At 41.4% G+C, this 23,674-nt stretch overlaps 1 long non-coding RNA gene and 1 other non-coding gene across 8 annotated transcripts in view, besides 1 other annotated feature; both read right to left on the reverse strand.

Annotated features, from left to right (window-relative positions):
* Nucleotides 1-23,674, reverse strand: part of SLC44A3-AS1 (SLC44A3 antisense RNA 1) — a 203,881-nt gene that overhangs the window by 112,755 nt on the left and 67,452 nt on the right. For 4 of the 7 annotated variants that reach the window (NR_160780.1, NR_104131.2, NR_160781.1 and 1 more), the window contains one exon: nt 3,152-3,331. The exons of the other annotated variants lie outside the window; for them this stretch is intronic. This is a non-coding gene — a long non-coding RNA (SLC44A3 antisense RNA 1). The remainder of the gene's footprint in view (nt 1-3,151; nt 3,332-23,674) is intronic. 7 annotated transcript variants of the gene reach the window in all.
* Nucleotides 5,101-6,043: an enhancer, noted in NCBI's record as "NANOG-H3K27ac-H3K4me1 hESC enhancer chr1:95199763-95200705 (GRCh37/hg19 assembly coordinates)". NCBI's record gives its function as "activates a minimal SCP1, AML or CMV promoter by ChIP-STARR-seq in primed H9 embryonic stem cells {active_cell/tissue: H9 hESC(primed)}" and the evidence as "EXISTENCE:reporter gene assay evidence [ECO:0000049][PMID:30033119]".
* Nucleotides 16,754-16,794, reverse strand: MIR378G (microRNA 378g). The gene has a single exon (NR_039620.1). It is a non-coding gene; the product is annotated as a microRNA 378g (primary transcript).

Below are 23,674 nucleotides of genomic sequence, written 5' to 3' on the forward strand. Positions count from 1 at the left end.
CCATGTCTAACTTAAACAACAGAAATAAGCGCTACAACAGAAATATGTTGTATCTTAAACAGTTCTCCATAGAGCAGAAAAAGAATTGGTATATATAACCTTGATTAAATCACCACTATAGTATTTTTACCTTTACAATTGATCATCACAGTACTTTTCATTTTTGTCCTGTGATCCCCTTTCTAATCATCTATTCAGCTTCTAGCCATGGCCTGTCAGACATCCTACCCATGTCAGAAGAGTGGTTAAAATGCTGGTTTGATTATCTTTGCTTCTTGTGGAAGCCTGGAAAAAGATTTATAATTTTCTTGGAAAGGCCTGGAAGGAGGCTATAATCATTTCCTGGCTTTGTTCTGGAAGCTCTCCAGCTTCTCCACAAAGCCCTTATGCTAGACAGGATGGCCAGGAGATCAGTTTCACTTTCCTATCTATCCTAAGATAGCGGTCTTCTGAGTCTTTCCTTGTTTCTGCTGGCAATTTCTAAATGCAAGGGCTGATGCCCATTCCACAAGAAAGAGATAGGGAAGGAAGGGGGAAGGCAGCAAGTGTCTTGCCAACATTTTGATTCCTTCGGTAGAATGTAAGCTCCATGAGGGCAGGGGCCACATCTACCCACTCACCTCATGACCCCAGCGCTTAGCCTAGTGTCTGGCACATTGAAGGTGCTCAACCCTTTTGTAGAATGAATAAATGAATGAAGGCACACAATGTGCCGAACATTTTAAGATATTGGAGATCTTGTTTTTCAGATGGGAAAATGGAGAGCCCAATATTATTTAAAATGTCAGCAATGGGCAAGGCTTCAACCCCCAGTCTTCTGGCTTTTGCCATCCAGTACATCCCACTACTTCCCATCTAAAATGATGCCTTCCTTTGTCAAGTCACCTTGCTTTACCTTTGCTATTACCTCCCTCAAGTTCAACTTTTCAGTAGCAAGCCTGGACCCACAAGCCCTGCCACGATCAAGAGCCCCTCTCTCCACAGTTAACCCATCTATGTTGCTGTCTCTCATTGGCCTTGCCCCAGGGGTCTTCCCTCTTCTCATCTTAAGATCTGCAGCCTTTTGGGGGGTTTATGAGTGTATTGTAGAAGCTTTTTTTTTTTTTTTTTTTGAGACAGAGCTCTGCCTCCCGGGTTCATGCCATTCTCCTGCCTCAGCCTCCCGAGTAGCTGGGACTACAGGCGCCCACCACCACGCCCAGCTAATTTTTTGTATTTTTAGTAGAGACGGGGTTTCACCATGTTAGCCAGGATGGTCTTGATCTCCTGACCTCGTGATCCACCCACCTCGGCCTCCCAAAGTGCTGGGATTACAGGCATGAGCCACCACGCCCGGCCAACCCCCCGTCACCCAGGCTGAAGTGCAGTGGCATGATCTCAGCTCACTGCAATCTCCACCTCCCAGATTCAAGCGATTCTTGTGCCTCAGCCTCCTGAGTAGCTGGGATTTCAGGCATGTGCCACCACACCCAGCTACAGAGGTTTCTTTTTGAGTAAACTCTATGTGGGATATTAGAAACTGTGACTGCCTCAGAGCCACCACCTGCCTGTATTGATCTCCATAGCCCAGTGGCTTGCAGCTCCTGGTGTGCCAATGGTCTGGGTGGACGCCTGCACCACCTGAGGCTGCCCCAGGGTACCAGCATCAAGCTGCAAACTGGTTCCAAAATGAGTTTCCCTTTCCTCCAACCCACCACCATGAGTTCCTGGACACCCCTGGCCTAAAAGTCCCAGAAAATAGTGAGGACAGTGCCTTGTTTTGGTAGCCCTCCCCCACCCACTCCCAAGATCCAGTGTTTCTCTGTCCAGGCTGTCTGCCGCCTGTATCCAGAACTGACCAGTTATAGACCTCTACTACCTCTACTTGCCTTGGCTCCATTCTCTTTGGCAGAGACAGATGTGGAGCTACCAGAGCCCTGGGTGAAAGGCATACTTTTGCATTCGTGCAGGCCCTTCCCACCCATTTATAGGTGTAAATTTTACAAAGCCTAGATTCCTGTGTGTTGGCACTGGGACAGTGTTGTATTTAAGAAGCACAGGACAATATCCAAAATATAATTTAAAAGGAAATGCATTCTTTATTCATCCTCATGTAAGTCATAACAGAGAATAAACATAGATAGGAACTCTTTAACATTTACTAAATTCCCAATTTCTTTCTTTCTTTCTTTCTTTCTTTCTTTCTTTCTTTCTTTCTTTCTTTCTTTCTTTCTTTCTTTCTTTCCCTTCCTTCCTTCCTTCCTTCCTTCCTTCCTTCCTTCTTTCTTTCTTTCTTTCTTTCTTTCTTTCTTTCTTTCTTTCTTTCTTTCTTTCTTTCTTTCTTTCTTTCTTTCTTTCTTTCTCTCTTTCTTTCTTTCTTTTCTTTCAACAGGATCTCACTCTGTCACCCAGGCTAGAGTGCAGTAGTATGATTATAGTTCACTGCAGCCTCGACCTCCTGGCTCAAGCAATCCTCCTGCCTCAGCCTCCCATGTACTTGGGACCACAAGTGTGCACGACCATACTCAGCTAATTATTTTGTTGTAGAGACAGGGATCTCACTTTGTTGCCCAGGCTGGTCTTGAACTCCTGGGCTCAAGCAATCCTCCTGCCTCATCGTCCCAAAGTGCTGGCATTACATGCATGAGCCACCGTGCCCAGCCTAAATTCCCAGTTTCTTCTCTGTTCATAGTTCCTCCAATGAGACTTCTCATATCCCTGAAGAAAATTCCTCTACCCCTTGCTTCCATGACTGCCTTTTTCCTCCAGCCCTATTCTCCTCCTCTCTTAGGATTTTATTAGATAGCTTGACTTAGCTTCTTTCCCAGCAATAAGGAATCTTTTCTCTTTGGAAGAGGACAGAAATCAGGGGCTCTGTAATCAAAGATTCTCTTTAGAGAGATAGGGGAGAGGGAGAAGTGAACACCCACACAGAAATCAGCATTGCCATCACTTAGACATTTTTCAGAATAGGCATAGCTTCATTATTTTCTTCTTAGTCATTAACCCCTAGAAACATATTTTCAGTTGTTCTTTGTGATGTTTAAAGTGCCACATCAACAATTATCATCCCAGCTTGGAAACAGCCTGCTTGCTGGTGAAAAACAAAAACTCTATTCGTGGGACCAGCTCAGAAACAGGGCTGTGATAAGTTTGAGCTAGTAGATCTTACCTGGCTGAAGCAGGGAAGGATGCAAATACATCATGTCTCTTCTTTGTGTGCAAGAGCCTGTTCATCCATTCATTCACTCAACCACTGAACCAAGATTTTCTGTGCAACCATTATTCTTCTGCTAGATGCAGAAGAGACTGAGAAGAATAAGACTTGGCCCTCATCTTCCAAGGAATTCACCTGGAGTTGGGGCAAAATCACGTGATCACATCAACCATTAACACAATTTGGTGCATTATAGCAGACATAGTAGCCGGGGACCATGGGGCCACTGGGACAGCATAACTAACCCTGATATGGGATAAGCATGGATCAGCCTAAGAAGGCTTCCAAGAGGAGGTGTCATTTGATCTGGATCAAAAAAGAAAAGCAGAAGCTTTCCTGATGAAGAATGGAGTACAGGCACTTCAGAAAGAAGCATATAATAGGTGATGCCATAGTTACTTGAAAGAGGATGCTATTTTGGGGGAAGAATAGAAGTTCAGAATAGCTGGAGGGTATGTGGCACAGAGTGATGGGAGATGACACAAGCAAAAATGTGAAGGACCTTTGAAATTTTTGTATTGGGGGCCTGACACGGTGGCCCACACCTGTAACCACAGCACTTTGGGAGGCCAAGGTGGGCGGATCACAAGGTCAAGAGATCGAGACCATCCTGGCCAACATGGTGAAACCCCGTCTCTACTAAAAATACAAAAAAATTAGCTGGGCGTGGTGGCGCATGCCTGTAGTCCCAGCTATTCGAGAGGCTGAGGCAGGAGAATCACTTGAACCCGGGAGGCGGAGGTTGCAGTGAGCCAAGATTGGGCCACTGGACTCCAGCCTGGTAACAGAGTGAGACTCCATCTCAAAAAAAAAAAGTATTGGAAGAAAATGGAAAAAAATTAAAATTACCAATACCCCTCATCATTTCTTAAATCTTATATGAAGTAAGTCACAGTAGAAATCCCCTCTCTGCCCATGGAAAACCATTCGACCAAGGAAACCACTGCTAACAGTTTGATAGATATCCTTTCTTCTTCTTACACTTATGCAGGCATATTTAAATCACGTTTTAGAAACAAAAAGTTAAGTATCCTATACCTATTGATCTGCAGCTTAATTTTTTTCAGTTAGTATCATATTTTCACAGGTCAGTTTATACAAAACTATTTTGTTACTTTTAACAGGCAACAAGGAACCAGTAAAGGACTTTAAGTTTGGGAACAAGTGGATCAAATATGTTTTTTATGGAGCCTGGATGGGAGAAAAGAGGACCGAGGCAGAGAGTCCACTTAGGGAAGGCCATGGTGAGAACTCTATTGAAAAGGCCATAGGGATGAGATTTGAGATTTCTGAGGTAGAATCATCAGGATTGTGACAGGTGATGGATTGGCTATGAGAATGGCTTGGTGAAAGTTCTTTTGTTGTATGTAACAGAAGCCACTCAAGGCAAGAAACATTTCGAAGCCAGGATTCAAAGGCAGGAACGAAATCGGGCCTGAGGATGGCCTGGAACCCAGAACTAGAAAGCTATCAGGAGTCAAGATCACTGTCTACTATTTCTAGGGTGTAGATCTCTCATTTCAACTTCTCTCTGAAGGTCCACCTCATTGTCCTCTGTGTGACTACTTCCCCATGCACTGATGCTTCTCCCAGCTGCAGAGCAAGTGCTAACTTAGATCAGTCCAACCCAGAACAACAAAACCGGAATCTGGGGGGATGCCTGGCCATCGTGTGTGTGTACATGTATGTGTGTGTGTGTGTATGGTGTGTATCGAGGACTAAGCTCTGATTTTTTTTTTTTTACCATGCCTGGCCACTGCACGTGCGCACGTGTGTGTGTGTGTGTGGTGTGTTGAGGACTAAATTCTAATTTTTTTTTTTATCTTGCCCAAATTCCTATCTAAGGAGTCTGGGGAGTCATGCCCTACAAATTATAAATTCTCATCGATGAGTTTTATTTAACCCTATATATGGTGACTTACTTTCCAACCTGACTCTGGCTTACTTTCCAACCTGATTCTGGCATAACATTAAGAGACAAAGTAGAAAATCAAAATATTTTACCCCAAAACGTGTTTCTTTGCCATATTTTGAAATGGCCCTGCAAAGCTGTTCTTTGTGGGGGAAAATTTGCATCTGTAAAGAAACTTTATTAACATAGCTAGGTCTTTTTCTTCCTGACCTAAAGAGATTAACTAAGATCTGAATAGGAAACGTTTGACATCTATCGTCTCTAAGGGCAGCCACTATAAGACTTTGAAAGAATTTTGGTCTCCACAATCTGTATCTTAACCTGAACATTCCCTTTCTATGAATCCCAGGTCTTTAGACACAGGTCTTTAGACAAACTCAACCAATTGTCAACCGGAAAATGTTTAAATTCACCTGTAGCCTGGAAGCCCCCCCTTCCCCCCCATCCCTCTCCCCACCTTTGAGTTGTCCCGCCTTTCTGGACCGACCCAATGTATTTAAATGTATTTGATTGATGTCTCATGGTTCTCTAAAATGTATAAAACCAAGCTGTGCCAGGACCACCTTGGGCACAGGTTCTCAGGACCTCCTGAGGGCTGTGTCACGGGCCATGGTCACTCATATTTGGCTCATAATAAATCTCTAAATATTTTAGAGTTTGACTCTTTTCATAGACAGTGTTTTCAGAATTCCTGGGCAATTTCAACATAGAGCGAAGGTGAAGAATCTCCAGTTTGGCACGGCTCAGGGTCTTGGAGGCGCCATTTCCACGTTTGCAGGAGAGAGGATGTGATTGGCCCAGCCTGGGTCAGGTGTCCACGCTGGTCCAATCAACTGTGGCTGTAGACAGGGGCACCGGGACAGGATGGGAATAAGCAGGGGTTTTTTTTAGCTCAGCCTCTCCTGCTAAGGAGTGGAAAGGAAGGGAGGAGTGGCCCGGACAACATCAAGGTTCTGTAGTTCCACATGGCACAGGCAAATCAGGTTTCGTGTTTACCTCTTGCTCCTTCTTCCCAGGACAAAGCCCTGGCCTTAGTGGAAAATGAGTACTTTATATCACTGGCACGGGTCCCATTACTCCCTCCCTGCCCGAAAGGACAAAGGGAGTGGCCTCGTCCCTGGGCTGCAGTCCCCAGGCTTCCCTCCTCCACCAGGAGCCCGAGCTGCCTGAAGGTGCCTCTCTCAGAGCCATTTAACCAAGTCCCTCGGCAAAGAGCATGTCTGCTGGGAAGTGGAAGCAAACAGCTGTGAAATGATAGGCTGGAATCAACTTCTTTTTTGTCATCAGAATGAGTGACGGGGGAGTGAACTGTGGCTTCATATTTCCACCCAGATTTGGGGGAGGAAGGGAGGCAAGAAATTGCTGACCGGAGGAATTTGAATGCTAGAGAAGCTGGCCATTTGCTGTGTCTTCCCTCATATTTACTTCAACTGTTGTTAGGCAGTTCCTCCCACTCGCCTAAGACCCGTCTTCCTAAATGGAGAATTCCTCACACCCGGCCTCAACGGGAGGTGAAACCTGGGCTGCATTTGAAGGGACTTAGCCTAACCGCAAGAGATTCATGTTTCCTGTGCCTCCAACTCAAAGTCAGATTGCTATGGGGGCGTGGATCTTAACATAACTATCCAAACCCAAGAACAGCCCGAGGGTGGGTTGGAAGAGGCCTCTTTGTCTTCCTGTCTGCCAGGTCTTATCTTCTCTTTTCATATCCTGGTCTTGATCACCGCTTCCACAGTGTTTTTATACTTGGCCCACTTGGCAATTTATGCATGTGTTTTTGAGTGAATATTTTTCAGTTTTGTTTTTATTTCTCTGGAAAAGCTAAGAGGGTTATATTGCTGTGCCAAGACAGAGGACTTACTCTAGATTCAGAAGACCCAGATCTCAAGTCCCAGATCTTCCAATTGCTAGTTTTGTACCTTAGGCAAATGACTTCGGTCCCCCCACCCCCATTCTCCTGTGGCTGTGTTTATACTTCTCTTATTATAGCTATCCTATGTCTGTGTTTCCTAGGAAATTTTGAACATCTTAATATAAATTTTTATTTATCTTGGTAACAAACGCAGTGCCTAGTACATTGCCTGATACATAGATATACAAAAAAAAAAAAAAAAACAAAATGTAAATTCTCACAGTCTATGAAATTGGGACAATTACACCAAATTGTAAATATTGAATAAGACAATTCATGTGATTTATAAACTATAAAAAATACTATGTTTAAAAGTTGTAACAATGTCACTATAAAATTTTGCAGAGTTTTTTTTTTTAATGGTTCTCTTATTCTTACTGCATATTTGAAAAGTTTAGGGTAAGGAGTTTGTGAGGAAAACCTAGGATTTCTTATTTGCAAGAAATTATTTTATTAATTACATGACTTACTCTGTTTCTGGCATAAGCCTCTGTTCTCACTTACGGTGTTTTTTCATTTAACTAGTTACATTGTCTAATGGTTAATATTTGTGGTGTAAAGGATGATAGCTCTAAATGAGGGTTTGTCAACCTTTGCACTGTTGACATTTTGGGCCAGATAATTCTTTGTTGATGGGGAGGGGCCTGTCCTGTTGAGCAGCATCCCTTGCACCCCACCCACTAGATGCCAGTAGCCCTTCCCCCTAGTTGTAACAACCAACAGTATCTCCAGACATTATCAAATGTCCCCTGGAAGGGGGTGCAAAATCACCCCTTCTTCACTGTTGAGCACCATTGCTCTGAAGTTATGACTTATGCTTTTTTCTCTTGCATCTTCTGTTATTAACTTTCTCAATATTTTAAATGTATGTCTCTTAAGTGCTGCAAAATCAGACCACTCTGAAGTCCACTCAAAGCATTTTTCACTCACTTGGGTCTGAAGACAGGCATGTCCTTCAATGCATCTGATTACTCAGAGAAGATTTCCCTAGCTTGCCAGAGAAATTCCCTCTTTCTCCCTCATTCTTCCTCTATACACAAGGTTGGCACAGATCAATCCTAAAATTCCATTCACCATGACTTCCAAAAGCAAGTAGGCTTCTTGCTTTTAAAGCCTGTGATGTCCTACCTTCTCAGAGTTCCCTAGGTGAACACATAATCAAGGCCCCACTGTCAGCCTCCCTGCACTAGAGGGACCCTTGATTTACTGCATATGTACATTTGGGTGTGGTCACTTTATGTTATCATAAAGACAAGTCTCTCCTAAGTGAACAGACACCCATCTTTTCTTGCACAAGTGTACTTTTTTTCTTAGCCTCCCTCCCTTTCTCTGTGTTTGGTGTCTTTATGGACTTGTGCCAATTTACAGGAAGTGACTTAATTTTTCCACCCCATGGACGGCTGGAGCCAGTGTTACAGTCCTCTTGCTGCAGACAAGATGCCTACTTTCCTCCCAGCTTCCTGTTTACCTCACTTCAAGGAGCACCGAGGCCCAAGATTTTGTCTGAAATTCATTTTCTCCAAGATGCAAAAGCTGTTATTAATAACCTCCATTTGTTTGCCTACGACCTTGTTAAGCACGAATGTACCAAGTACAAATGGTACCCACTCCTCTGAGCACTTGGTACTCACTTAACAAATCCCTGTCTCCCTGATAGAAAGGATGCTGTGTCATCAGAAAATTGCCCTACATACTATGCACACAGCTCCCATTCCTTCTTAAGGAACCTCATTCCTGTGGACAAGAAAGAAGGGGGCTTGCTGTCCTCTGACTGCTTATGCACATATTGAATGCCCAGGGTCCGACACATAACAACACTTTTTTCTCCTCAGCTTTTACTTTAGGCTCAGGGTGTATGTGCAGCTTTGTTACATGGGAAAATTGCATGTCACTGGGGTTTGGAGTACAAATGATTTCATCACCCAGGTAGTGAGCATGGTACTTGACAGCTAGTTTTTTAACCCTCACCATCTTCCTACCCTTCTCCCTCAATTAGTCCCCAGTGTCTATGGTTCCCATCTTTATGTCCATGTGTACTTAATGTTTAGCTCCCACTTATAAGTGAGAACATGCAGTTTTTGGTTTTCTGATCCTGCACAATGGCCTCCGGCTGCATCCGTGTTCCTGCAAAGGACATGATTTTGGTTTTCTTATGGCTGCATAGTATTCCATGGTATGTATGTACCACATTTTCTTTATCCAATTCACTGTTGGGCACCAAGGTTGATTCCATATCTTTGTTATTGTGATTAGTGCTATAACGAACATATGGGCACATGTGTATTTTTAGTAGAATGATTTCTGTTCCTTTGGATATATACCCAGTAATGGGATTGCTAGGTCGAATGGTAGTTCTAAGTTCTTTGAGAAATCCCCACACTGCTTTCCACAGTAGTTGAACCTGTTTACATTCCTTCCAGCAGTGTATAAGCATTCCCTTTTCTCCACAACCTCTCCAGCGTCTGTGATTTTTTTTTACTTTTTAATAGCCATTCTGACCAGTGTGAGATGGTATCTCATTGTGATTTTGGTTTGCATTTCTGTAATGATTAGTAATGTTCAGCAGTTTTTATATGCTTGTTGGCCACCTGTATGTCTTCTTTTGAGAAGTGTTCCATGTCCTTTGCCCATTTTTTAATGGGGTTGTTTGTTTGTTTGCTACATAACATTTCTACAGTTGCTTTTGGCAAGAGTGATGGCTCAAGACTGCTATCTTTACAAAGTAGCTACATTTTAAATTAACATTCTGAAGATGAGCTGACATCTAAAAAGACAGGAGAATAGTTTAATAGGAACCCATCTGATAAGGAAATTTGGATGGGCTGTTTAATGGATCCACCATGCTTCAGAATAATTCCCTTCACATTGACAACCACCATCACCACCACCCCTTTGAACTCCTACTTAGTGCTTGATGTACATTATCTCATTTAAATCTCACAACAATCCTGATGAGGTTTTACTGGAAGTAAGTATTATTACTTCCATCTTATAGATGAGGAAACTAAAACTCAGAGATGTTGTGTGAACTTGACCAAGGTCACACAGTTGTTAAGTAGCAAATTTAGGATTTGATCCAAAGCACAACAAAGTGAGATGCTGGACATTAGCAACCAGAACAGAGATTTCTCTGAAACTCTGAAGAGGAATAAAGAGCTTCCTGTCTAATCCCAGCAACTATCACATTAAGAAAAAAATCTTAAAAACATCTCTTGGGGTAATATGAAAAATACAAGATTAGGAATCATAAGATCTGGGTCTTAATCCCTACTTTACTACTTTCAAGCTGAATGATCAGGGACAATTTATTGATTACCGCTGAGCATCGGTTTTCTCATCTCACATGGAAATTACAGGGCTATTGTGAGTAATTATGTTTTAACTGTTAATCTCTACAAAAATGTAGTTCGACCACAGGCATTTCCAAAGAGTCTCATCACCCAGATCCTGGGAAGAACCTGGCTTCTCTACTCAAGTCAAGTTGGACAGCCATTGCTGAGGCTGTCCAAAGACAATGTTCTCTTTCTCATAACATCAGCGATGACACAGGGAAAGCGAGCATGTCAGGCCATGGGGCTGCTTCTCTAATAGGCTGGCCATGTTTGGAACATAGGTCTGGGCCTCTTTTGGCCAGTAACCACAAGGACAGGACGAACAGACGCAAGGGCATGCCTCCAAGTGGCTGGCCAGCACCCGGGGGCTTTGGAACACTGTGGTTAACCTCAGGGCCTGGCAGGAGGGAAAAGTCCTAGCTCCCAAGTTAGTCGCTTCCACAAAAGTAAACCAAAATGAGTCATATGAAGATGGAGAAACCACCAGAGACAGCTTTCCATGTAAGGATCACAGTAAAGAATAAAAGCCAGCAATGGGAGAACTCTAAGCCCTTGGATGGCTGATGTTTCCTTCTTAGTCAGTATGTGAGATGTGTGGCCAGACACGAGCATGGGTATGTGTGTGTGTGCAGTGAGGGAAATCTGTGTGTATTCTTCTGCCTCCTCTGTGGCTGGTTTGCCAGCTGCTGCTCAACATCATTCAAGTGGATTGGAAACTTATACAGTAGTATTATTAGAGGGTGACCCTGGTTCTTTTTGATATTACAAAATTGCCCTTTAAAAAGCTTTTCTTGCTTTGACTCTGAGAGGGGGCATGGAGTGGGGTCCATATATTCTACCTGTGCACATATGCATGTAAATATGAGTGGATAAGCAAGGACAGCCAGAGCTCTTGAAAGTAAATGTCTCAGTAGACGGGTTGGAAGACAAAATTGAGGAAATAGTCCCAAATGTAATGAAGAAAGGATGGAAATTATGAGGGAAAAGTTGAAAGAAATGTAGGATCATTTCACAAAGTCCAACATCCATCTAGCAGGATTCCAGAAAAAAAAAAGTGAAGATGAGGGGAAACATTATCAAAGGAAAGACAAGAATTTCAGACTGGAAGGACCCACCGAATATTGAGCAAAAAGAGTAAAAAGGGACCCATATACACTGTGATAAAATTTAGAAATATAAAAATAATATTCTCAGTGATTTCAGAAAGTAGATACTCTAGAAAAATAAGAATTAGCCCAAGCTTTGCCTTCTTGTCAGTAATTTTGGATGCCAGAAGAGTAACCTAGTGAAGCAATCGATGCCTTTGTAGTACCAAGGGAATTTGATTTTCCATTTAGAATCATCAATCCCAGTCAAACCATTCAAATGTCAGAGCAAATAGTTTTTCAGAACCACACTACTTGATCCTTCAGTAAATAATATGTATACAGTTATATTATAAAAATTCATTATTGATTTTTGTTCTTCAGAATTAACCTATAGACAAAATAAAAACTCAACTGTTTATCCCCCTATTCTGAAAGATTACCTGTGTGCACACTCCAGTAAGATAAAAGAGGAATCTAAGAAAAAGAAATTCATAGGATCCAAGAAACATTAGAAATAATTTAAGGATGTAATTAAAATTTTAGAAAAATACGATGGTAACTGTGGTACATACCTAGAAGATGATGAGACAAAATTAGGTCATTCAAAATGGTATGCTTAAGAATCTGGATGATCTTCATGATATGGTAAAGAGGATGTATGTGTCTATTGTCAATTACTTTAAAAACGAAAAGCAAATAGGAGCCCCAGAATAAAACAAAAATCAGAATTAGAAGCAACCTAAATTAGGACATAGTTTGGAAAAACTGATTAGGGTAGGAAAAGAGAATTCATTTTCTTTTGCATTGCCTAGGATTATTTATTTCTTACTTCATTCTTCAGTAAATAATTTTTATATATTCACAGGATTGACATTGGGGAAGAAACTGTATATTGGTTTTCAATATTTAGAATCAAATTTTAAACAAAGCAGGGAAGACTTAACTATGGTTTCAGAGTAGAATATAATTATTACAAACCCAGTAAATACAAAAGAGAATCCAGGAAAGGCAGAAGTTAGAAGGTGAAGGAAGTAGGAAGGGTGGAGGGGAAAATGGGGTAATGAGTTCCTCATTTTTCTTGTAAGGAATCAAGTGGAATACAGTCTAAAATTATGAAGATGGAAAGACACAGAGGCAGTGGAGGATAACACACACCCTCATGTGGCAGGAGTCAATAAATACTGTTGAAAGTTGATAAATCAAAAAAGAGAGGTATAAGCATATTACTCAGTATTTTGTGGCAACCACCTAACGAACTGAAACCAGAACTGGTTAAAGTGGATTGCCGTTGGGAGTGGGAGGGAGTGAGGACAAGGAGAAGGAGACTTTGCATAGTGTTTTGTCCTATTTGAGTGTAACTTCCATCACATGTGGGCATTACTTTTAAAATAAAACTGGGAAGAAGAATAAGATTACCAAGCGTTGACATTGGGGAAGAAACAGAAGCTTTTATACCCTGTTTGCAAGAGTGAAAACTGAATTGGTCCAAGCTTTTTTTAAAAAAAGTCATGAAATGCTGAGAAAACTTGAAGTTATGTGTGTGCCTTTAGGAGTTCTATTTTAAGTAAGACATGGAAGTTTTAATACACTTATGCTGCAAACTGGGAAGTGCTAGGGAACCCACATCCTCCCCATCAGCCTGGCTGGAGCCATCTGGGACAAGCATCTATTTGTTACAGAAATTTTATACAGCAGGAGCTTGAGAGTGACTCTGTCACTTACCTCATGAATGCACAAACTCCTGAGAAGAGGAGCCGGAGGGAACGGCAGTGGCCTTTCCTGAAGAAATGAGGGATGCTTTTCTCTCACAACTTCATGGCAGGCCACAATTTTGTCTTACACCATATTGTCACAGGAAGAAATGCTGCCTGCGGAGACTCAAGAACAGGACACAGACCAAACAGGAAAATCCCAATGAGACCATGGATCCCTGGAGGGGATCCTCTTTTGCAACCCTCAAAGGCAAAGCACTTTGCAGGCAGTAGGCATTTATATTAGTGTGCTAGGGCTGCCATAACAGAATAGCATACACTGGGGGTGCTTACACAACAAATATTTATTTTCGTACAGTCCTGGAGGCTCAAGTTTGAGATTAAGGTGCACCAGGATTGGTTTCTGGTAAGGCCTCTCTTCCTGGCTTGCAGACAGCCACCTTCTTGGTGTGTCATCACATGACTTTTTCTCTGTGTATACAAAGAGAGAGAGAGATCTCTAGTGTCTCTTTTTATAAGGACACCAGTCCTATCAGCTTAGGATCCAATCCTTATGACCTCATTTAACCTTGATTACCTTCTTGAAGGTGTTATCTCCAAATACAGTCATATTGGTAGTTAGGGCTTCAACATATGAATTTGGAGGTGACACGATTCAGTCCATAACAGTATGGAATAAGCACCTATGGTTATTGAATAATGAATGCTCTGACTGCTTTCCTGGATACATGGGGGCCCTAATTTTTATGCTACATAATGGATGCTGTAAGGAGAAAGAAACTATCCTTCTTGTTCACACCCATCTTTTCCCTCCTCAAGGTGGATGTCATTGCTAATATGATTGCACTGCTAAGGTCATCAAGAGGGCAGTTTTTACAGTGTCCCTATGAGATGGCAGGGACTTGCTCACCCATCACTCAGCAAACATCCACATGTCCATGACCAGCTACTGCCCCCCTCACACCTGGCCCCACATTGGGACCTGGCTCATTCTATCTTCATCACTACCAGCTATGGTCTGAATTTTTGTGTCCCCTTCCTCCACAGATTAATATGTTGAATCCTAATTACCAACTCGATAGTATTAGGAGATGGGACCTTTGAGAAGTGATTAGGTTATAAGGATGGAGCCCTCATGGACCGGATTAATGGAAAGAGAAGAAAAGAAAAGAAAAAAGAAAAGAAAAGAAAAGGAAAGAAAGGGGTCCAGAGAGCTGCCTTGCCCTTCTACTATGTGAGGACACAGCAAGAAGGCATCATCTATGATCCAGGAAGTGGGCCCTCACCAGACACCAAATCTGCTGGTGCTTTGATCTTGAACTTACCAGTCTTCAGAACTGTGAGCAACAAATTTCTGTTGTTTAAAAGCCACCCAGTTTAAGGTATGTTTGTTATAGTCGCCCAAACAGACCAAAATGCTCTCTCTTTCTAACCAAGGGGTAATGAGAGGCTGAGATCTGTATTCATTTTTAGGGGTAAATAATGGGGGCTCCACTTCAGTTTATAGCCTTAATTGTATGCTCTCTGGAGGAGGAGAAAATGGGGATGGGCAGAGATGTAGAATAGATATTGTACACACCCCACAAAAAAATAGCAGCCTTTGTTTTCCATTTGCTGTCTTCTCTCTGTCCTACCATCTGTCCTCAGAGAGAAGAGGCCTCACAGGCAAGAAGAACACGAGAACACAGATGCTCCCAGGGTCCCTGGAAAAATGCCATCAAAATCTAGTGTACATCTGTAACAAAGACAGTTTATTGTTCCAAGAGGCTGCATGTTTCACCTAATAAAGAGTCATATAAACATAAGGAAGCTCTGGCCTCAAGCTACAAATGCATTTGCTCACTGAGTGCCTGACTGGAGGACAGACTGTGCTTCCTGAACAAACCAGAACCATATAAAAACAATCCTCCCTGAGTACACAGGACCCAAAGTGATTTCTCAGGATGCTCATTTCCTTTCACAAGTAGTCCCAGGTAGTATGTCATGTCCAGAGCAGTCCTGGTACTCTCCTAGAACACCACAGCTCAACATCCTTTCGGTTCACTGTCCAGAGGCCTAGCATGCTCATTTCCTCTCTAAACCCCTTGACTCTCAGAAATGTCCCTAACACATTTACAGTTTACAAAGTATTTTCACATGTCATTTAATTCTTGCAAGTACTCTGTGAGATGACAGAGACTCAATCATTCATTTATTCAGCAAGCACTAATCAAGGGCTAGGTACCATGCCAGACCCTGGGGAGACAGAACAAGCTAAGATGTGCTGCCCACACTTGAGGAGCTCACAGAACACCAAGGGAAACAGGCAATGCCCCGGCCTAGCTGCCATGGCAGGAGGGCACCACAACTTAAGAGAGCACAGAGGGAGTCCATTCTGGCTCAGGAGAACCAGGGAGGTTTCCTGAGGAATATGGTCTCATTCCTGATGGGAGTCAGAGCTGAGCAGGCAAAGAAGGGGACCAAAGGAATGCCAGGCAAGCAGGAGGGCATTCAAGTTATAAAAGAGAAAGCGTGGCCCAAGTGTGGTGCTTTGAGCAGCTGAGTATGGCTTGAAGTAGAGTGTGAAGTGTGGGAGGGGAGGTGGACAGGAGATAAATCCAGAGAGGAACTCGGGGCCAGATCACAGGTGAGTATATTTCAGGACATGGTAAGGAAATTTGGATTTTTACCCTAGGGAAATAAATAGGTAATTGCTAAGGGTTTTAAGTAAGGCAGGTACATGAATGAGCTGTGCAGTTTAGAAAGAGTAATCAGAATGGGTAGGTGCAGTGGCTCACACCTGTAATCCCAGGACTTTGGGAGGCCAAGGCGGGCTGATCACTTGAGTTCAGGAGTTCAAGACCAGCCTGGCCAATATGGTGAAATCTCGTCTCTACTAGAAATACAAAAATTAGCCAGGCGTGGTAGCACACACCTGTAATCCCAGCTACTCAGGAGGCTGAGGCAGGATAATCACTTGAACCTGGAAGGAGGAGGTTGCAGTGAGCCAAGATTACATCACTGCACTCCAGCCTGGGGGATAGAGCGAGACTCCATCTCAAAAAAAAAAAAAAAGAGTAATCAGCCAGTGCAGATGCTGGACTGAGGGAATAAGCCAGGAAGATCCTGAGTGGTCCAGGAGAGAGAAGAGATTTTCATTCAGAGCAGTGGGAATGGGGATGGGGAGTAGGGATGGTTCAGGATATATTTAAGAGGACATACAGGACTTGTGACTGGATGACTGTGAATGGTGTAGGGGAAGCTGGGGCAAACATCCAGATTTCTGTTTGGGCCCATGAGTAGATGATGGTGCCATTCACCTAAGTAGGATGAGGAAGAGGAACAGGTTTGGGAAGAAAGTGAACGATTGATTGGGCATGCTGAGTTCTAGGGACATATAAATCCCAAACAGAGATGTTTGGGGAAGTTTGGGTTCAGGGCTCGGCAACTCAAGGGAGAGGTCTGGCTTGGTGATATGGATTTAGGGGACTCTGGCATAGTAGCTGTAGATGGTGTCACAGAAGTATGTGAGGTCTCCCAAAGGGAGGATGCAGAAGCCTGATGTCATTAGACAGATGAAGGGACTGAGGCTGCCTGAAGATCTCATAGCTGGTCCATGGCAGAGCTGGGCTGGAGCCAGGTCTTCTGACTCCAAGCCCAGTGCCCTATCTGCCACACAAAAGTCTAGCCAAGGACTCCTGGATATGAGCCTGGGCTGTACCTGGAAGCCAGCAGGTTTTACCTCTGTTGTTTCCTTGTTTTATCTAATAGGAAGTAGCCCTTGAGCAGTGGCCAAGAAGCCCTTCATCATGTTGCTCTTGGTAGGCTACAAGGGTGAGTGGAGGAATAGTCTAAATACCTACTGGGGAGATACCCTTGGGTGAGACAAGGCAGAAAATGCTCACACTTGCCACCATGTTCACCCTGTCATTCAATCCTTACATCTGCTCTTCCTGGGTCACTCACCTTCCTGCTTACTTCCCTAGACTCTGCTCACATCAGGTTCTTTGCTTCACCTCCCCTCTCCATCAAAATCTTCTTGTTTTAGTCCCATCCCACCTCCACTCTATAGTTCTCTGCTAGACTATGAGATAAAGCAAGTCCTGCTAAGATGGGTACTAATCAGTTAATGAGAAATCCATCCCATGGTACCCACTCCTTTTAACCAGAATTCTTGGAGACATGTAAGTAGCATTGCTAAAGGCAATAATTTGAAGCAATTTGGCCAATTATTGAGGAAAGGATAGGCATATAGGCAGGAGAGGAAGTAAGAGAGAAAGTTGGGGCCCGATCACCATCGGTATGTTTCATATTACATTAACATGTTTGGAGTTGAGTTCATTCAACATGGTGATGCAGTGGCCTGCTGGTTAAGGCCCTCCTTGTCATGACAGTTGACATTCTATTTCAACACCTGTAAACAATAGGTGTGCCCTTCTGTACACACACACCGTAAGCATCTCTTGTCTCCTCATCTGCAATACAACAGAACAGAGACAGGGTGATTTTTCAAATCAAGGCCACAGGTCCCAAATGTTTTTCTCAAATTCTGTTAGTGATCTCATTGGTAGAACCAGTGCCAGGCCGGGCTAGAAATCCAATCAGAAACAATGTTTACTAAGGGCTGAATTAAGAAGGAATCTCTTGGGTGAGGGAGGGTTTTTCTCCCTTGGCAAAATATGATTTGCTGTTTTCAAGTTAATGAAAAGAAGGGGGAAAACAAAAAATAACAACTGAAAGATCTTTTAAAGGAAGTACAAACTTGGACAGACCAAGGAACACTTATGAAACAGCCTGCCCTGCTGTCTGGTTCCAGCCTTGCAAGACTTAAGCCACAGTGACCCCAGGGTCACGGAAAGAAGCAGCCCGCTGGGGTTAGGGTTTGAGGAGGAGGAATGCTGTCCAGCACATGTGGGGCAGGGCGGCAGGTTTATCTCAAGGGCTCAAGATTCTACAGTAAGCCCCAGGGTATGTTGACTGCCTGTCTGGGTAGACATCGGGCCACCCAGTCCTCTAATGTGACTCTGGATGATGGGTTGGCCGCAGATGGTGAGGCGAGCCCAGCTGGCCTTACAGCTACAGACAGGAAATGCCAGAGCCCTGGGGATTGGGCATCATGGAGTTCATTAAATCACATGCCTTCCAGCTGTAAGGTTGTCCAGTCTCACTCCCATCAGTTGATGTCTGAATTCCCTCAGCAACATTCTTACCAAGTGGTCATTAAGCCAGTACTTGAATAGCCCCCATGACAGAAACTTTTATCCTTCAAGAAAGTCAGTTTTGTCTTTGGATAGTTCTGGCTGGAGGGGTAGGAGTTACTAAATCCCTCCATTACTTCAACTGCCTGGTGGGGGATGGTTCTCTGCACTCACACAGAAGACATTTCTGCCCATCCCAAGTGGCAGGAGTTGGTCTGAACACCTGGGTCTGCCAGAAGGCACATCATTCTAGTCACCCTACATCTCCAAGCATAGGTGACAGGGGCATTTTGAACTGCATGTCACAGGAAGAGGTCTGCTTTGTTTACCTCTGAATCTTCAGCAGCTGCCCCATGATTGACACTAGAAAAACTAGATAAATATTTCCAAAAAATGAATTTATGAACAAGCCTAAGGCTTTGCCATTTATCTCATCAAGAAAGAGAATTTGGATTTACAAAAGTCAAATGTGATTTTAAAGGGCATTCAACACTCAACAAAGTCATTCTAACCACTCCTCCCTTAACCCAGTGCACGCCACCTAGGGTAAGTACCAAATTTTGTGCTGTGCTTTTGCAATGGGTCTCTACTTGAAGAGATATACTATTTCCTTTATCATATTGTAAATTCCTCCAGGAAGTTTCACCAGAAAGTTATTCTGACTTATTGTATAACTTCCAAAGTTATACAGTGCAGGGCAGACATTGAATAGTAAAAATGTTCCACACTTGGTCTATACTAGGTACCCACAAATATTTATTGAATGAATGAGTGAATGAATGGCAGAGGGAAAGGCTTTGTTGTTGTTTTGTAAAAGTAGAGAAGTCAGATTATCCAAACTTTACTTCTTACAAACATAAACATGCATATATGCACACACACATTCCTTTCCTTCTCTTAACTTTGAATAATTCTTGGAGTGTTTTGACTATTCCCAAACTTATTTTTCAAAAATAAATATTTCCACCGTTTCCCTTAAATTAACCTACTGTATTTTTGGCCATTAATCATAAACCCTGGGTTTTATTTGTAGATAATAGTAAAAATTAATAATTAAGAATGTACATACTATAAACTGTAAAATAAGAACTAAAGTGACACAGTAAAGAATTATGGATAATAAATATTATTATCCATAAATATTATCCATAATTCTTTATTGTGTTACTTTAGTCCTTATTTTACATTTTATAGTATAAATAGTAGAGGAGATAAATAGAATACTTTTTAAAAATACTGAATTAGTCCAAAAGAAGGTAGAAAAAGAAGAAAAATAGAACAAAAAACAGATGAGACATAGAAAACAAATACCAAGATGCTATATTTAAACTGAAGCATCTCAATAATCATATCAAATGTAAATGGTCTAAACATCCCAATTAAAAGAAAGAGATGTCCAGATTTGATTAAAAATAAGCGAAAAGCAAGACCCAAATAAATACTACCAATAAGAAACCCACTTTAAGTAAAAAGATACAAATAAGTGAAAAGCAAAAGGATATAAACGGTAATCTTAAGAAAGCTGTAGTGGCTATATTAATATCAGAAAAAGCAGATTTCAGAGCAAAAAGTATTTAGCCAGGGATAAAGCTGTTTCCCATTTAGTAAAAATAAAGGTGCTAAATTATCAAGAGGACATAGGATAGGAATCATAAATGCTTATATTTGTAACAACTAACCTTCAAAATACATGAAACAAAATATGGAAAAATTGCAAGGATAAATTAACAGATACATGATTATAATAAAATATTTTAACACTTCCCTCTCAGTAGTTAATAGACACAGAAAGAAAATCAGTACAAATAACAACTCGAATAACACTATCAACCAACTTGATCTAATTGACATTCAGAGAACATTCCACCAAAAAACAAACAAACAAAAAGGTCAACATAATACAAATTCTTTTCAAGTGCATATAGAACATTTTCAAAGACAGACCATATTCTGGGCTATTAAGCAAGTCTGAATACATTTAAAAGGATTTGGGTCATACAAAGTATATTCTCTGACCAAAAATGGAATTAAAATAGAAATCAGTAACAGAAATATATCTGGAAAAAACTGCAAATATTTGGAAACTAAATTTCACACTTATAATCTCTAGGTCAAAAAAGAAATCTCAAGGGAAAATACAGTATATTTTAGAATACATAAAAATGAAAATACAACATATCCAAATTTGTGGGATGCAGACCAAGCAGTACATAGAGGTAAATTTATAGCACTAAATGCTCATATTAGAAAAGAACAGTCAGGCATGATGGCTCATGCCTATAACCCCAGCACTTCGGGAGGCTGAGGAGGCAGGATAACTTAAGGCCAGGAGTTTGAGCCTAGCCTGATCAACATAGCAAGACCCTCTCTCTATAAAAACTGCAAAACAAACAAAAAAACAAACAAAATTAGTCAGGTACAGTGGCATGCACCTATAGTCCCAGCTACTTGAGAGGTGAAGCAGGAGGGCCCAGGAGTTCAAGACTGCAGTGAGCTATGATCATGCCACTGCACTTCAGCCTGGGTAGCACAGTGAGACCCTGTCTCAAAAAAAAAAAAGAAAAGAAAGAAAGAAAGAAGGAAGGGAAGGGAAGGAAAGGAAAAGAAAAGAAAAAGAAAAAGAAAGAAAGAAAGAAAGAAAGAAAGAAAGAAAGAAAGAAAGAAAGAAAGAAAGAAAGAGAAAGAAAGAAAGAGAAAGGAAGGAAGGAAGGAAGAAAGAAAGAAAGAGAAAGAAAGAAAGGAAAAGAAAGAAAGAAGGAAAGGAAAAGAAAAGAAAGAAAAAAAGAAAGAAAGAAGGAAGGAAAGGAAAAGAAAAAAAAAAGAAAGAAAGAAGGAAGGAAAGGAAAAGAAAAGAAGGCCCGGGCATGGTGGCTCACACCTGTAATCCCAGCACTTTGGGAGGCCCAGGTGAGCAGATCACCTGAAATCAGGAGCATGATTCAGGAGCATAATTCAGGAGCATAAATCAGGAGCATAATTCCAAATGCTGAAATGCCAAAAAATCAAAATCCTGAAAATGTAATTCTGGAAAAAATAATTTTTAAAAATTCTTTAATAATATTTATGTTTTAAAAGGGTCTTTGTTTGAGAAATATACCAGAACACTTCATAGGCCACTTTACAAAATGAAATAGGCAATAATAACTATATGTTTTTCAAGCATAAACACTAGATATACTAACAACAGTTGCACAGATATAACAGTTATAAGCAGATGAACTGTATTCACAAAGAAATAGGTCAAAAGCAAAATGTATAAATGTAGATCACTATGGTTGGTAATTGTGTGCACCCATGTTTATAATTTCAGTTATCTGAAATACTGTGACAGATGACCTATGTCGTTTGATAAGATGAATCAAAAACTGCAATGGGTCACCACTGCATATGCAGTCGTGCAAAGAGCCTAGATCTCAAAAAATTTTACCTTTCACAAATGCAGTTGTATGAAGAGGAAATATCTTCACTTATTGAGAAAGCTTTGGTGTTTTTACATACAAGCACAATGGTTACACACAATCAGTGTTGTGATAATGCACTTTTGGGAAGTCAAATTTGCAAAAAAAATGCATAAAACAAATCAAAACTCTCCAAAAGTCTTTACATGGTTTATACCTCTAGTATTAGAAATGATGCAAAGAGAAATACTTAGCATAGCAAATTGTAAAAAATAATGCTGATACTTTAAAATAGTGGGGGAAAAGTAAGAAAAAAACTAAAAAACTAAAAAGAAAATTCAGCATATTAAAAATATATTACAAGGGTAGATTGTGGGCAATTGCACACACGTAGTCCATAAGAACAGGCCAACTTTCATGATCATTAACTATTTTCTGAAGTCTTGCATTGTGATGAATAGCTGCTTTTCATCTTTTAGGGCATGGCTCTCCTCAAAGAATAAGTTCACATTCATTTTCTTTTTTTTTATTATTATACTTTTAAGTTCTAGGGCACATGTGCACAACGTGCAGGTTTGTTACATAGGTATACATGTGCCATGTTGGTTTGCTGCACCCATTAACTCGTCATTTACATTAGGTATATCTCCTAATGCTATCCTTCCCCCCTCTCCCCACCCCATGACAGGCTCCCATGTGTGATGTTCCCCGCCCTCTGTCCAAGTGTTCTCATTGTTCAATTCCCATCTATGAGTGAGAACATGCAGTATTTGGTTTTCTGTCCTCGCGATAGTTTGCTCAGAATGATGGTTTCCAGCTTAATCCATGTCTCTACAGAGGACATGAACTCATCCTTTTTTATGGCTGCATAATATTCCATGGTGTATATGTGCCACATTTTCTTAATCCAGTCTATCATTGATTGACATTTGGGTTGGTTCCAAGTCTTTGCTATTGAGAATAGTGCCGCAATAAACATACATGTGCATGTGTCTTTACGGCAGCATGATTTAAAATTCTCTGGGTATATACCCAGTAATGGGATGGCTGGGGTCAAATGGTATTTCTAGTTCTAGATCCTTGAGGAATCGCCACACTGTCTTCCACAATGGTTGAACTAGTTTACAGTCCCACCAACGGTGTAAAAGTGTTCCTATTTCTCTACATCCTCGCCAGCACCTGTTGTTTCCTGACTTTTTAATGACCGCCATTCTAACTGGTATGAGATGGTATCTCATTGTGGTTTTGATTTGCATTTCTCTGATGACCAGTGATGATGAGCATTTTTTCATGTGTCTTTTGGCTGCATAAATGTCTTCTGTTGAGGAGTGTCTGTTCATATCCTTTGCCCACTTTTTGATGGGGTTGTTTGTTTTTTTCTTGTAAATTTGTTTGAGTTCATTGTAGATTCTGGATATTAGCCCTTTGTCAGATGAGTAGATTGCAAAAATTTTCTCCCATTCTGAAGGTTGCCTGTTCACTCTGATGGTAGTTTCTTTTGCTGTGCAGAAGCTCTTTAGTTTCATTAGATCCCATTTGTCAATTTTGGCTTTTGTTGCCATTGCTTTTTGTGTTTTAGATGTGAAGTCCTTGCCCATGCCTATGTCCTGAATGGTATAGCCTAGGTTTTCTTCTAGGGTTTTTATGGTTTTAGTCTAACATTTAAGTCTTTAATCCATCTTGAATTAATTTTTGTATAAGATGTAAGGAAGGGATCCAGTTTCAGTTCTCTACATATGGCTAGCCAGTTTTCCCAGCACCATTTATTAAATAGGGAATCATTTCCCCATTTCTTGTTTTTGTCAGGTTTGTCAAAGATCAGATGGTTGTAGATATGCGGCATTATTTCTGAGGGCTCTCTTCTGTTCCATTGGTCTATATCTCTGTTTTGGTACCAGTACCATGCTGTTTTGGTGACTGTAGCCTTGTAGTATAATTTGAAGTCAG

This window comes from Homo sapiens, chromosome 1, assembly GCF_000001405.40.
Source record: "Homo sapiens chromosome 1, GRCh38.p14 Primary Assembly".
Lineage (NCBI taxonomy): Eukaryota > Metazoa > Chordata > Mammalia > Primates > Hominidae > Homo > Homo sapiens.